Source organism: Homo sapiens, chromosome 1, assembly GCF_000001405.40.
Source record: "Homo sapiens chromosome 1, GRCh38.p14 Primary Assembly".
In the NCBI taxonomy this organism is placed as follows: domain Eukaryota; kingdom Metazoa; phylum Chordata; class Mammalia; order Primates; family Hominidae; genus Homo; species Homo sapiens.
The window spans coordinates 35295527-35311439 of NC_000001.11; the positions used below are offsets into that span (position 1 = coordinate 35295527).

Here is a 15913-nt window from a genome sequence, read left to right on the forward strand (position 1 = left end):
ACGTTTCAGCATCCCTGGTTTCTATCTACTAGATTTCAACAGCACACCCAAGCTCTGACAACCAAAACTGCCTCCAGACATTGTCAGATTTTCTAGATTTGGGGAGCAAAATTGCTCTGGTTAAGAACCACAGCTCTGCTAAATGGGTACATAAATTCCTTTGGGGAAGACTTGGAGGAAGATTTATGGTATATACTTGCAGTAATGGTGCAGAGTCCTTCCTCAAGAGGACCCAGTCTGTCCTCAGTCAAGAGTCTGGCTGGGCCTGTGAATTGACTAACTTTGGAAACTGGGAAAATGCCCATGACTTGCACTGTGATAAGTCAAGTTGGGTTTTGGCCACCAGATTTAGCCATTTTTCTGTTATATAGATTAAACTGCCCATCTATTTCATTCCTAGGAACATCGTGATCAATTAGCCACTGCCAAAGATCCCTGCTGGCCAAAACATTCTGATTACCGGTATGTCCCTGCTGTCCTTATCTTTGGGGTTAAATAGTGCCATTTGGCCTCTGCTACTTTGGTATCCCATTATCCTTGGTGAAGTCAAGGAGCCCATCTCAGTGTGGCATTTTCTGCGGTTATCCCTGACCTACAAAGGAGAACAGCCACAGGACTTTTCAAAGATGAGTGTTCCCCTTACTAACAGAATGACCCCTGGGCCTTCTCAGGAAATGTAGTTGGGTGGTAGGTGTGCAGGTTGCAGAGGATGAGTCCACTTCAGGATTCCCTCTTCCAGATAATGCCAGGGAAATCTACTGTCTCAGTCTTATTAAATATAGACTATTGTTGAATCTAAGTTTCAGTCAACAACCAGAGAAGCCACTAGCGATACCTCCATCTACACAAGCTAACATATTCAATTCAGAATCTGTATTACATGCACCTCGTATCAGTAAATTCTAACCACCTTAGTGTAATATCCTGAGACTCTGTTTTCACATGTCCCTCAGATTTCTGCTTTTATATATTAGCAAAATCTTGGAATTTTTTGGCCTGTAAAACTGTTTCCATTGTGTGTACCTGTCCCCCTACAACATGCTGAGATTTGACCCTAGTTATGGCTCTAGTGATGACGGGGTTAGCTGTGGTTGGTTTTGATGAGAATGAACGTCCTCCTGTAGGGCATCTATTGCACATGAGGATATCACATGATTTTCCAGCAAAAGAAGGCTATTCTTTTTAGATACAGAGGGCAGGTGGAAGTTTGAAATAGTCAGTTTCATTCTGATCCAACCAGATATTCCCATTTGAAGTTTCAAGGTCCCATTATTTCCCAGTAACTGTTCTTACCTTTTCTTTTTCTTTCTTTCTTTCTTTTTTTTTTTTTTTTTTTTTTGAGATGGGAGTTTCGCTCTTATTGCCCAGGCTGGAGTGCAGTGACGCCATCTTGGCTCACTGCAACCTCCATCTCCCGGGTTTAGGCGATTCTCCTGCCTCAGCCTCCTGAGTAGCTAGGATTACAGGCGTGCGCCACCACACCCTGCTAACGTTTGCATTTTTAGTAGAGACGGAGTTTCACCATGTTGGTCAGGCTGGTCTTGAACTCCTGACCTCAGGTGATCCACCTGCCCTGGCCTTCCAAAGTGCTGGGATTACAAGCGTGAGGCACCGCGCCCAGCCTGCTCTTACTTTTTCTTTCTTTCTTTTTTTTTGAGATGGAGTCTCGTTCTGTCTGCCCTCACTTTCACACAATAAACTTGGCGAGACTGAATTCAACTAATTTTGTAATTCAGTTTGCACAATTAAATTTTGCATTTGATTTTCAGCAATATCAACCTGTGGTTATATAAGAATTAAGATTATTAATACAAAAATGAGCCAGGCATTTTGGCTTACACCTGAGGGTGAGATGGGAGGATGGTTTGAGCCTGGGAGGCAGAGGTTGCTGTGAGCTGAGGTTGCAGTGAGCCGAGGTCACGCCACTGCACTCCAGCCTGGGTGCTTGTCACAAAAAAAAAAAAAATGTATATATATTTTTAAGGTTATCTTGAAAGGTCTCTCTTTCTCTGACTGTGACTTGAGCTGACTTAACGGACCTGAACTTGTTATTTTCATCAGAAATGCAGAAGAGCACTTAGAGAATTCATCTCACATAACAGACTTTGTAGCCATCATTACTGCTTTACTAGTTAAGTGCAACAGCCATTTGGGTTCCCAAGGTACTTGCTTTAGTTGGCATTTCATCATCACCAACCACAGGTGATAGCCTGATTAACTGTGATGCCCCTGCATATGTGGGATTATTACCAAACTAGTTCCTGCTTGAGCCCTATACTCAAGCCTAAGGACACAACGAAAAGCAATTCTGAATCCCATTTTTGTGTGCCTGTCTCCTATGACCACTGCCACTACCAGTCCTGTATCAGAGGACAGAAACCACACAGTAATTTGAATATGGAAAGTTTAACATAAAGAATTATTTACCATTAATGGGGAATTAACTCTAAGGCTTAAAGAGAATGCTAAAGATACAGAATAACAGTAGAGGGAGCGGCCACTGCCTCTAGGTCTGAGGCAAAGTTAACAAGGATGGAATAAATCTGGATGATGGCCAGCCCACCAGCTTCAAGGCTGAGATTCAGATCTTGTTGGAGAAGGTGTGGTCCACTGGATGCTGGAAACATCTGAGGTGGGGCAGGCTTTTGCTGGCAATTAAAAAATGCCCCCCTGGGGTGCCAATAAAAGTCAGTAGGATGGTGAGTCCCTCATCTCTACGAAAAATAAAAATATTAGCTGGACATACTGGTGTGCACCTATGGTCCCAGCTACTTGAGAGGCTGAGGTGGAAGGATTGCTTGAGGCCAGGAGATCAAGGCTGCAGTGCACTCACTGTGTTTGTACCACTGCACTCCAGCCTGGGCAACAGAGGATACTGTGTCTCAAAAAAAAGTCACTAGGAAGCCCCTTGCTGAATCTGGCTAAGAAGATAGGCTGGGACACTGGCAAAATTCTCTGGGAAGTCTGTCTCCCATAGGGGTGCTGCTGAAACTTGCAGGGTAGGTGCTTTCTGGAGTGCTGACAAAACTTGTCAGGAAACTACTCATGCGTGTGTGCCTGTGTCACTGAGACTTGCTGGGGAGTTGGTCTCTGGGAGGGCCATTTGGAGTCCTGCACAACACCTCCACTGGAGCAAGCCGGCTAGAGAACAGTGTTAACAGGAAGAGAAGCCCCTTCCTTCTAGAGTATTCCTCCAGTGCCATCTACTGACAAAGGTTAACATTGTGCCAGCTGGCAAAGGAGAAAGTTTTGCAGGGTCCATCTCCATTATGTAAAGCAGGGCAGAGAAGAGTGGGTTTGGAGTTGAGAGGCAATCCATTTGTAACTGGTGAGAACCCACATAGTTACATTGCCATACTCTTTACTTAGGGTAGATGCTTGTTTTCATATGGTGTCATTTTCCTTCTGCTGAGGGACTTTCCTTTAATACCTCTTGTAGACTGGTCTGGTAGTGATGAATTCTCTGTTTCTGAACAAGTATTTATTTTGCCTTCAGTTTTGAAAGTTTTTTTTTTTTTTTTTTAAGAAACAGAGTCTTGCCATGTGGCCCAGGCTGAACTCAAATTCTTGAGCTCAGGTGATCCTCCTGCCCCAGTCTCTTGAGTAGCTGGGATTACAGGTATGCACCACCACACCTGGTGTAGTTTTGAGAGATATTTTTGCAGGATTTTGAATTCTAGATTGACATTTTCCTTTACTTTCAGTACTTTAAAGATGTTGCTCCTATACCTTCTGGATTGCATTGTTACCAATGGAAGGTGTTCAGGTTCTTGGCGTCTTGAACAAAGAATTGGACAAAACACACAAACAAAGCGGGAAAAGAATGAAGCAAAAAAAAAGCAGAGATTATTGACAATGAAAGTAAACTTCACAGTGTGGGAGCTGGTTGGAGCATAGGGGCTCAAGGGTGCCATTACAGAATTTTCTGGGGTTTAAATCCTCTTTAGAGGTTTCCCATTGGTTACTTGGTGTACACCCTTTGTAAATGAAGTAGTGGCCCCCAATGAGAGGCTGAAGTTAAGTTACAAAAGTTATACCCTATGCAAACCTCTGGTTGTGGAAAGCAACCAATCAAAGGCTAAAGTGAAGTTACAAAGTTATACTTCTGTGCAAACAAAGACTTAGCCAGGAATCAGTCTGAATAGTTGCCTGGTAAGTTGCAGAAAGCAACCAATCAAAGGCTAAAGTGAAGTTACAAAGTTACACTCTTATGCAAACATCTGATTGGTTGCAGAAAGCAACCAACAGAGATTCTTTCTTTCTTTCTTTTCTTTTTTTTTTTTTATGAGACAGAGTCTTGCTCTGTTGCCCAGGCTGGAGTGCAATGGTGCCATCTCGGCTCACTGCAAGCTCCGTGCCCTGGGTTCATGCCATTCTCCTGCCGCAGCCTACAGAGTAGCTGGGACTACAGGCGCCTGCCACCACGCCTGGCTATTTTTCTTGTATTTTTAGTAGAGACGGGTTTTCACAGTGTTCGCCAGGATGGTCTCGATCTCCTGACCTCGTGATCCGCCCACCTTGGCCTCCCAAAGTGCTGGGATTACAGGCATGAGCCACTATGCCCGGCAACAGAGATTCTTTCAATTTTCCATCTGCCACATAGAAAAAGAGTGGGGTTTGCAAAGGGAGTAGCCTCCAGCCCTTCTGTTACTTAGGTGTGGAAATTTGGGGTTTTCCTTTTGATTTAGCTCTGGGAAGTCAGTGTGAATTGGCCTTAGGTTCCCTGCCTCCAGATTCTATTTTCCTGCCTCAGCATTGCTTCTATGAGTCTACTCTTATTATTTTTGTTCCTTTGGATGTAATACCATTTTCCCCCAGCTGCATTTAAGAATTCTCTATCACTTTTTATCAGGAATTTGATTATGCCTTGGTATGGTTTATTTCAAACTTCTGCACAGGGTTCATTGAGCATTCTGATTCTGTGAGTATACAGTTTTCATAAAATTGGGAAGTTTTGGCCATTATATTTTCAAAATCTTTTTGTCTTCTCCCTAGCATATTTATTGACTCCAGTTATATGTATATTATATCACTAGATGTTGTTCCATAGCTCACTAATTTTCTTTAGCCTTTTTTCTCTTTTTATTTTGGACTGTTTCTTTTGCTGTATGTTCTAATTCACCAATCTTCCGCAGTGTATAATTTTCTGTTAGTTCCATTCTGTGTAATTTTCATCTTAGACATTGGGTTTTTCATCTCTAAGTTCAGTTTGGGTACTTTTTATGTATATCTTTGTGTCTCCTTAGTATATTCATGCTTTCACCTTTACCTTCTTGAATACATGGAATATATTTATAATAGTTCTTTTAATGGTCTACTAGTTTTATCATTTGTATAATTTCTGGATCTGTTTCTGTTGATTAACCTTTCTCATTATAAATTGGCTGTTCTTGCTTCTTTGCATGCTTGGTAGCTTTTGATTGAATGCTAGACATTGTGGCCTCTACCTAGTTGGGTGCAGGACTTAAAAAAAAATTCCCTTAACTATTCTCAAGCTTTGTTCTGGGATACAGTAAAGTTACTAGAAACAGATATTTTTGGTACCCTGTATCCCTGCCTTAAAAAATAATAAGATAAACAAGTCTTTTTGAGGCTTACTTTTAATCTTTGTTACGTGGTGGCACCAGAATAGCTTCTTGGCAAAAGCTAATTTTATCCTACTGCTGACTTTTTACTATACTATTGAATATTTGATGCCCCATGTGATACCCCATGTGTTAGAAGGTCTTTTCCTTCTGGGCTGAGTGTGGTGGCTTACACCTGTAATCCCAGCACTTTGGGAGGCCAAGGCGGGCGGATCACTTAAGGTCAGGAGTTCAAGACCAGCCTGGCCAACATGGTGAAACCTCGTCTCTACTAAAAGTACAAAATTAGTCTGGCATGGTGGCAGGTGCCTGTAGTCCCAGCTAGTCAGGAGACTGAGACAGGAGGATCGCTTGAACCTAGGAGGTGGAGGCTGCAGTGAGCCAAGGTCATGCCACTGTACTCCAGCCTGGGTGACAGAGTGAGAGGGTGTCTCAAAAAAAAAAAAAAAAAGTCTTGTCTTTTCCTTCTGGTTGATGGAACATGAACTATTTCAGGCCCTGTATAAACTCTAGGAATTGTTCTGCCCGCTTTTTTCTGGTGACTGTTTCACTGGCCTCCATGGTTTCTTCTCTTACTTGTGCAGCTTGATACTTAGCTGAAGACTAGAGGAGAGTACTCTGCAGATCTCTGAACTTCTCAGTGTATCTCTCTCCTTTTTAGTATTCTGGCCTCTTTGATGTCTGCTAACTCTGAACCCTGTTTCCTCAACTTCGGGAGATTGCCAGGCTCCATTTAGGTTCACTCTGTATGCTATGTGGCCTGGAAACTCTCAGATGGTAAGCTGGGGCAATGATAGGACTCACCTCGTTTGTTTCTCTTCTCTCAGAGCTTACTGTTCTATTCTGCCTGTTCTCCAATGCCTGAAAAATTTACTTCATAATTTTGTCTGACCTTTTAGTTGTTTAAGGCAGGAAGGTAAATCCACTCTCTGTTACTTCATAATAGCCGAAAAGTTGAAATCCTGTTCCATTCATTTTTGTTGTCTGAGCGCAGTCTCTAGAACAAGGGTCAACAAGCTGTAGCTCACAGGCCAAATTCTAGTCGGTAGCCTATTTTTGTATTATCCACAAGCTAAAAACGGCTCTTGCTTTTTTTTTTTTTTTTTTTTTTTTTGTGACAGGGCCTTGCTATGTTACTCAGGCTGGGGTGCAGTGGCACCATCACAGCTCACTGCTGCCTTGACCCCTGGGCTCAATAGATCCTCCTGCCTCAGCCTCTGGAGAAGCTGGGACTACAGGCCTGTGCCAGCGGACTGGCTAATTTGACTTTTTTTTTTTTTTTTTTTTTTTTTGAGATGGAGTCTTGCTCTGTTGTGCAGGCTGGAGTGCAGTGGTGCGATCTCAGCTCACTGCAAGCTCCGCCTCCCGGTTTCATGCCATTCTCCTGCCTCAGCCTCCCGAGTAGCTGGAACTATGGGTGCCTGCCACAATGCCCCACTAATTTTTTGTATTTTTAGTAGAGACAGGGTTTCACCATGTTAGCCAGGATGGTCTCGATCTCCTGACCTCATGATCCGCCCTCCTCGGCCTTCCAAAATGCTGGGATTACAGGTGTGAGCCACAGCGCCCAGCCTAATTTGACTATTTTTTTGTAGAGATGGGATCTTACTATGTTGCTAAGTTGGTCTCAAACTTCTGGGCTTATGTGATCCTCCAGCCTTGACCTCCTAAAGTGCTGGGATTACAGGTGTGAGCTACTGCACCCAGTCTGGCTTTTGCATTTTAAAGAGCTGTTTTTAAAAAGAGAGCCTGATGTGGTGGCTCATGCCTGCAATCTCAGCTACTCTGGAGGCTGGAGGTGGGAGGATTGCTTGAGGCCAGGAGTTTGAGACCAGCCTGAGCAATACAGGGAAACACTGTCTCCAAAAAAAAAAAAAAATTATCCAGGGCATAGTGACCACGCCTATATTCCTAGCTCCACCAGAGGTTGAGGTGGGAGGATCACTTGAGTCTAGGAGTTCGAGTCCAACCTGGGAAACCTGGCAAAAAAAAAAAAACAAAAAAACCTTGTCTTTGCAAAAAATCCAGAAATTAGTTAGGTGTGGTGATTGCCTGTAGTGCCAGCTACTCTGGAGGCTGAGGTGGGAGGATCAGTTGAACTTGGGAGGTCGAGGCTGCAATGAGCTGTCATGGTACCACTGCACTCCAGCCTGGTGACAGAGGGATACCTTGTCTCAAAAAAAAAAAAAAAAGAAAAGAAAAAAAATTGCTTATAGTATTTCTTTATATTCCTTGTAATGTCTGTAGATTTGTAGTGGTGATCTCTCTTTCATTCCTGATATTGGCAATTTGTGTTTTTTGTTTGTTTGTTTGTTTGTTTTTGAGACGGAGTCACCCAGGCTGGAGTACAGTGGCACAATATCGGCTCACTGCAACCTCCGCCGTCTGGGTTCAAGCGATTCTCCTGCCTCACCCTCCCAAGTGGCTGCGACTATAGGCACGCACCATCACACCGATCTAATGTTTGGATTTTTAGTAGAGACAGGGCTTTGCCATGTTGGCCAGGCTGGTCTCAAACTCCTGACCTCAAGTGATACATGCATGAGCCACAGCGCCCAGCCTATATTGATCTTTTGATAGAACTCATTTTTGGTTTCACTGATTTTTATGCTGTTCTTTATTTTCTATTTAATTTATTTTTGCTTTTATCATTATTTGATTGATGTTTGCTTTTATCTTTATTATTTCCTTCTTTCCACTTATTTTGGGTTTACTTTGCTTTCTTTTCCTAGCTTCTTGATTTGGCATCCTTCTTTAAGTTATATCAATAACTTATGGTTTAAAGCTATAGACATTTCTAAGCCCTGCTTTAAGTGCATCCCCAAACTCTTAGTAAGTTGTGTTTATATATCATTCAGTTCAAAATATTTACTGAGTTTTCTCTGATTTATTTTTCTACTTACATTACCATACAGTTTCTTTTTTTTTTTTGAAACGGAGTTTCGCGCTGTCGCCTGGGCTGGAGTGCAATGCCATGATCTTGGCTCACTGCAACCTCCGCCTCCCACATTCATGCGATTCTCCTGCCTCAGCTTCCTGAGTAGCTGGGATTACCGGTGCATACCAGCACACTCGGCTAATTTTTTGTATTTTTAGTAGAGATGGGGTTTCACTATGTTGGCCAGGCTGGTCTCGAACTCCTGACCTAGTGATCTGCCCGCCTTGGTCTCCCAAAGTGCTGGGAGTACAGGCGTGAGCCACCGCGCCCGGCCATACAGTTTCTTTAGAAGTATGCTTAATTTCTAATTTTTGATATTGTAATTATCTTGTTTTATAGTGATTTCAAATTTAATACCACTGAGGTCAGAGAATGTATTTTCTATTATTTCAGTTATTTGATTTTTTTTTCTTTTTTTTTTTCTTTGAGACGGGATCTGGCTCTGTCATCCAGGCTGGGGTGCAATGGCTCGATCTTAGCTTACTGCAACCTCTGCCTCCTGGGCTCAAATCATCCTCCCACCTCAGCCTCTTAAGAGTACCTGTGACTATAGCGTGTGCCACAATGCCTGGCTAATTTTTTTTTTGTATTTTTTTTTTTTTAGATATGGGGTTTCACCATGTTTCCCAGGCTGGTCTCCAGCTTCTGGCCTCAAGCAATCTTCCCACCTTGGCCTTCCAAAGTGATAGGATTACACGTGTGAGCCACCACTCCCAGCCTCAATTATTTGATTTCTATCGATGCTCTTTTTTTATGGTCCAGCATATAGTGTATCTTGGTGCCTCCACAAGTAAACTTTATTTTTTATTATTTTTTAGACAGAGTCTTGCTCTGTCCCCAGGCTGGAGTGCTGTGGCGCAATCTCAGCTCACTGCAACTTCTGACTGCCTGGTTCAAGCGATTCTCCTGCCTCAGCCTCCTAAGTAGGTGGTATTACAGGCATGCGCTACTACGACCAGCTAATTTTTGTATTTTTAGTAGAGATGGGGTTTCACCATGTTGGCCAGGATGGTGTTGATTTCCTGACCTCGTGATCCATCCGCCTTGGCCTCCCAAAGTGCTGGGATTACAGGCGTGAGCGACTGCGCCCAGCCCACAAGTAAACTTTAAAAAGTGCATACCAAGTTATTAGGTGTAGTGTTTCTATAAATACCACTTGGGTCAAGTTGGTTGGTAGGGCTGTAAAAATCTTCTGTGTCTTACTTGTTTTTTTGTCTTGTTCTAACTGACAGAACTATAAATCTGCAGCCACAGTTGGAGATTTTACTTATCTCTTTAGTTCTGTTTTTTGCTTCATGTATTTTGAAGTTGTATTGTTAGTTGCTTCACATATAGAGTTATGTCTTGTTGATGATCATATTTAGTGACTCTATTCTTTTTTCTTTCTGTTTTTTTTAAGATTTTTTTTCTCAGGTGATCTCTCAGCCTCCCAAAGTGTTGGGATTACAGACTTGGGCCACCATGCTTGGCTGAGTGACTCTATTCTTGTCATGTTTTCTCTTCTTTTTTTTTAGAGACAGTGTCTTGCTCATCACCCAGGCTGGAGTGCAGTGGCGTAATCATAACTTACTGCCGCCTCGAACTCCTGGGCTCCAGCAGTCCTCCCATCTCAGCCTCCCAAGTAGCTGGAACTACAGGTACACACCACTGTGCCTAGCTGAGTTTTCTTATTTTTTGTGGAGATGGGATTTTTCTTGCTTTGTTGCCCAGGCTGGTCTCCAACTCCAGGCCTCAAGTGATCCTCCTTCCTTTGCCTCCCAAAGTGTTGGGATTACAGGTGTGAGCCACTGTGCTGGGTGCATACTTTCTCTTTAGGCCTCCTATATCTGAGATTAATGTGGTTATATATAATATCAGGGTTTTTTTATGCTTAGTGTTTGGATTGACATGTGTTACCCTCCCCACCCTTTGACTTTCAGTCTGTGTCTCTATGTGGGTTTTGCCTTTTTCTGCAGTCTGACAGTTTGTAATTGTTGTGTTTATTCCTTTTAGACTTAATGTAGTAATTACATAGTTGGATTTAAGTCTTCTGTCTTCTTATTTGTGTCTTATTGATGCCATTTGTTCTTTATTCTCGCCTTATTGTAGGTAGATTGCATTTTTTCACTGTTCTATTTTGAGTATTTAGATGTATTCCTTTGTATTTAGAGGTTATTGTAAAGATTACAGCATGCATCTTTTAAGTTATTATCTTTAAAAATTATATCATTTATAGAACCTGTAGAATAGTATATTTCATTTATCTCTCTCCCTTCCTTTTTCTCCACCATATTTTAGGGCCTTGTCTTATATTTTCCTTCTATGAATGCTTGTTTATTTTTATGTATCAGTAAGGTCTCACGAATTCTTTAATCAGTGTGTCATGATCCATTGTTACCAGTATTCATTTTGATACTCAAATTATCCCATATTCAGCCTGTGGGAGCCCCTCTAACCTACCTTCTTTTTGTTTCATTTTATTTTTTAAAATATCCATTAGTTTTTTGGTCTTTACTTACTTTTTAACACAATAAGATGTTCCAGAGTGATCTTTTAAATTCTTTAATCACATTATGGCTCTACTTAAAATTTTTCAGTGGCTTTCCAGTAACCATATGATAAAGTTCAAAATCATTCAAGGTTGGGCATATATGGTCCTGATTATATATTTAGTTTTATGTCTTGTTTCTTTTACACCTATACTCCATTTCTTCTGTTGTGGACCTCCTCTACTAAAACTTTCTTACCTTTCCCTATAGCAAATGCTTTTTCATCCTTCTGATCTCATGGATGCCTTTTAAATTTGTAGACTAGGTTAAGTCACTGCTAAATACATTTCATAGCATTTTCTTCTTCCCCTTGATACCATTCATCTAACTATGTAATTGTTTGTGTAATATCTACATTTCCTGATAAACTGAAAAGTACAGAAATGCTTCATTTTCAGATCTGTTTTAACATAGTTTTAATGCAGACCAGCACTGTTTGTGCCTGATTTGTAGTAGGCAAATATGCAATAAATTACCGTTGGCTAACTGACTGAACTGGGCATGTTAACTTTCTGAATGTCCTTGGGTGATTTCTTTTTCCTCATCTCTAAAATGAGAGATCTCTGTTAATACTAAATTATCTTTAAAATTACTTTCATCTTTTGAATTCTTAGTAGTATCATTTAGTAGGCATGATAGAGAGACTAACTGAATTTGAACATAAAAGTCCACATTAGAGTAAGGGGAGAAAACACTGCATTGGTAGTGAAAATTTGGTAGGTTTAGGTTTTAGTGCTGTGCAGTTTAGAAAGCTTTCAGGGTATGAATGCAGTGCAAAAACCCCTGTACCTTGGTACAGTGTCTGGCTGTGACATCACATGGGTACCCTTGGACAAACAGAATTCCCTTAGAAGGTAAATGATGTTTTTCTGTGTATCTGCAAACACATGCAGTACTTTAAAAAAAAATTTTAATTGTTTAAAAAAAATTTTTAATTATTTTTATTATTATTATTATTATTATTATTTTTTTTTTGAGACAGAGTCTTGCTCTGTCGCCCAGGCTGGAGTGCAGTGGCACGATCTCGGCTCACTGCAAGCTCTGCCTCCCGGGTTCACGCCATTCTCCTGCCTCAGCCTCCCAAGTAGTTGGGACTACAGGTGCCCGCCACCACGCCCGGCTAATTTTTTATGTTTTTAGTAGAGACAGGGTTTCACCGTGTTAGCTAGGATGGTCTCGATCTCCTGACCTTGTGATCTGCCCGCCTCGGCCTCCCAAAGTGCTGGGATTACAGGCGTGAGCCACCGCGCCTGGCTATTACTATTTTTTGAGACGAAGTCTTACTTCTGTCCCCCAGGCTGGAGTGCAATGGTGCAATCTCGGCTCACTGCAACCTCCGCCTCCCGGGTTCAAGTGATTCACCTGCCTCAGCCTCCCAAGTAGCTGGGATTACAGGCGCCTGCCACCGCACCCGGCTAATTTTTTAATTTTTTTGAGATGGAATCTCGATATCACCCAGGCTGGAGTGCAGTGGCTCAATCTTGGCTCACTGCAACCTCCACCTCCTGGGTTCAAGCAATTATCCTGCCTCAGCCTCCTGCGTAGCTGGGATTACAGGCATGTGTCATCACACCTGGCTAATTTTTGTATTTTTAGTAGAAATGGGGTTTTGCCACGTTGGCCAGGCTGGTCTTGTACTCCTGACCTCAAGTGATCCACCTGCCTCAGCCTCCCAAAGTGCTGGGATTACAGGCATGAGCCACTGCACCTGACCATAGTACTTAATTTTAAGGTAGTTTATTCACTTAATAATATGTACAGAGTACACCTACTGTGTCCCACACAAATGAAATGCAATGGTATATACAAACTGTCTCCCGTGCCAGGTGCTTGAGAAATAGGAGTTCATTCATTGAGAAATTTCAGACTTTTAGGCCCAATCTCTCATAATTTGGTGGTTGAGCTGGTCTAGAACCCTAGTCGCCTGAACTAGTCTACTTTAGTGTTCCGCTTGAAGTACTAGAATCAAAGTGAGTTTTCGTAGTTAAGAGTGGATGATAAGACGGGTGTGGTGGTTCACGGCTGTAATCCCAGCTCTTTCGGAGGCCAAGAGGGATGAAATCACTTGAGCTCAGCAGTTCGAGACCATCCTGGGCAACATGGCGAAACCCTGTCTCTACCAAAAATACAAAAATTAGCTGGGCATGGTGGCGCATGCCTGTAGTCCCAGCTACTCAGGAGGCTGAGGTGGGAGGTTTGCTTGAACGTGGGGGGTGGAGGTTGCAGTGAGCCGAGATCATGCCACTGCACTCCAGCCTGGGTGACAGAGTGAGACCCTGTCTCAGAAAACAAAAGAAAGTGGATGATAAAAGGAAATTTTTTGCTTTTGGAAGATTCATGCAAAACAATAATACCAAATAATTGACATAGCAAGTTGAAAGATTAGAGCAGACAGCCTTGTTTGAAAGAGGAAAAGTGGTGTGAATGACAGAAAATGGAAGACATGTTAGAATGGTATGTGAATTTGGGGAGAAATGGTGGGTGGGTTTGAGAGAGGTTCTATAGCACAGTTGCCTTCCTGACTAAATATGGATGCCAACCTCATTGAATCTGAGAAATGAAACAAGATGACTTAACTGTTGACATTTTATAATATTAATTTTATAATTTTGGTTATACATGGTACAAGTTTGGGGATCTTTATGAAAATGAGTTATTTAAATAAACTTTATTCTTTGAATGCATTTTTGTAAATTTAGCTTATTTCTTTGACATAGACCGAAATGTTTTTCTTAAATTTTAAGAATAGCTTTATGATTGCATTATGTATTCAACAAACACATATTTGTCCTTTAAATTGTGCTGGGCATTGCCTTAGATTTGTTCCTTAGACTTGTAAGGAAAGGATAAAATAGTTTTAGGTAATTGAGCAATAAAGAATTTAGTCAGAATAATTTGTCTAATATTTGGCTTTGTACTGATCATTTATATGTGTATAATGATTATATATTCTGAAAGGGGAGATTACACATAAGAAACTAGGTTATCCTGTCTCATCTATCTCTTTAAAAACCTTGTAATTGTTTTGTTAGTAGATTTTTAGGGATAGGTTGGGGAAAGCAGTTGTCTGCCTTTGTAATTACACTTTATATTTGCGATCTCAAAATACTTTATGGTGATTGCTTGAGCCCAGGAGCTTGAGGCTACAGTGAGCTATGATCGCACCACTGTAGTCCAGCCTGGCCGACAGAGTAAGACTCTGTCTTAAAAAAAAACCCACAAAAAAACTACTTTAGAATATTCTGATTTATTTATTTTTCAAGTAATTCTATAACAGAACTATATTTAAGGGACATCTTCTTAAAAAAACTTAAGTATTTTGTGGGGTTTTTTTGTGTTGTGTGTTTTTTTTTGTTTTTTTTTTTTTGAGATGGAGTTTCACTCTTGTCGCCCAAGGTCTAGAGTGCAATGGCGCGATCTCGGCTCACTGCTACCTCCGCCTCCCAGGTTCAAGCGATTCTCCTGCCTCAGGCCTCCTCAGTAGCTGAGATTAAGGCACCCACCACCATGCCCGGCTAATGTTTGTATATTTTTTTTTAGTAGAGATGGGGTTTCACCATGTTGGCCAGGCTGGTCTCGAATTCCTGACTTCAAGTGATCTACCTGCCTCGGCCTCCCAAAGTGTTGGGATTACAGGCGTGAGCCACCTCGTCCAAGCATTTTATGGTTATCTTTGAATGTCTTACTTTTATTATGAAGGCAGCATTGTTGTAGATGATTTGAAAGATTTTAAAAGGTATAAGCTCACAAGTGTAGGTAGTGTGCTACATGAGGGGCAAGTTTTTCACTAATATTACAAGGGTCTCTGATCCAGTGAGTGGAGTTTGATAGTAATTTTTGATACAAGTGAAAATAAATAAATAAAAATAAAAAGGTATACAGAAAAGATAAAAATCTCTTGTAATTTTACTACTCACTGTATTTATTTACAATTATACATAAATTTATGTTGCATACGTATGTATTTTATTTTTTAAATGAATGTATGCTAAAATTCCTTTTTTCTTTTCTTTTTTTTGAGATGGAGTTTTGCTCTTGTTGCCCAGGCTGGAGTGCAATGTCACAATCTCAGCTCACTGCAACCTCTACCTCCCAGATTCAAGTGGTTCTCCTGCTTCAGCCTCCCGAGTAGCTGGGATTACAGGCATGCACCATCACACGCAGCTAATTTTATATTTTTAGTAGAGACAAGGTTTTACCATGTTGGCCAGGTTGGTCTCGAGCTCCTGACCTCAGGTGATCTGTCTGCCTCGGCCTCCCAAAGTGCTAGGATTACAGGTGTGAGCCACCGCATTCGGCCTCTTTTTTCTTTTTCTAATTCACACGAGTATGAAAATCTATAAAATTCCTTTTTTGACATTTGGTGCATACTGGATTGAATTTTAAACACACACATAGATTCTTATAAACACCACCGCAAACAGTATACGCTTCTATCACCCCATTTTTGGGGTGCTTTCTTTTGTAGTCATAGCCTCTATTCACCTTTAGCCACTGGCTGCCACTGTAGTGTTATCTGTCGCTATAGTTTTGTGTTTTTGAGAATGTCGTAAGTGAGAAGGCCAGGCATTGTGGCTCACGTCTGTAATCCCAGCACTTTGGGAGACTGAGGCAGGTGGATCACCTGAGGTCAGGAGTTTGAAACCAGCCTGGACAACATGGTGAAACCCCGTCTCTACTAAAAACACAAAAAAATTAGCTAGGCATGGTGGCATGCACCTGTAATCCCAGCTACTCAAGAGGCTGAGGCATGAGAATCGCTTGAACTCAGGAGGCGGAGGTTTCAGTGAGCCGATATCATGCCATTGCACTCCAGCCTCGGCAACAAGAGCAAAACTCTGTCTCAAAAAAAAAAAAAAAAA

The 15913-nt window shown here is 41.6% G+C and overlaps 1 protein-coding gene and 1 non-coding gene across 19 annotated transcripts in view, besides 1 other annotated feature; both read left to right on the forward strand.

Annotated features, from left to right (window-relative positions):
* Positions 1-15913, forward strand: part of ZMYM4 (zinc finger MYM-type containing 4) — a 153350-nt gene that overhangs the window by 26818 nt on the left and 110619 nt on the right. For 6 of the 18 annotated variants that reach the window (XM_017002803.2, XM_047434271.1, XM_047434278.1 and 3 more), the window contains one exon: positions 401-462. The exons of the other annotated variants lie outside the window; for them this stretch is intronic. The gene's annotated coding sequence lies outside the window, so the exon portion shown is untranslated. The remainder of the gene's footprint in view (positions 1-400; positions 463-15913) is intronic. 18 annotated transcript variants of the gene reach the window in all.
* Positions 5777-5975: a silencer, noted in NCBI's record as "fragment chr1:35766904-35767102 (GRCh37/hg19 assembly coordinates)". NCBI's record gives its function as "represses an EF-1alpha promoter that drives an FKBP-Casp9 reporter gene in an ReSE screen in K562 erythroleukemia cells {active_cell/tissue: K562}" and the evidence as "EXISTENCE:reporter gene assay evidence [ECO:0000049][PMID:32094911]".
* LOC124900419 (small nucleolar RNA SNORA62/SNORA6 family) lies at positions 14748-14899 on the forward strand. Its single transcript, XR_007067347.1, has one exon. It is a non-coding gene; the product is annotated as a small nucleolar RNA SNORA62/SNORA6 family (small nucleolar RNA).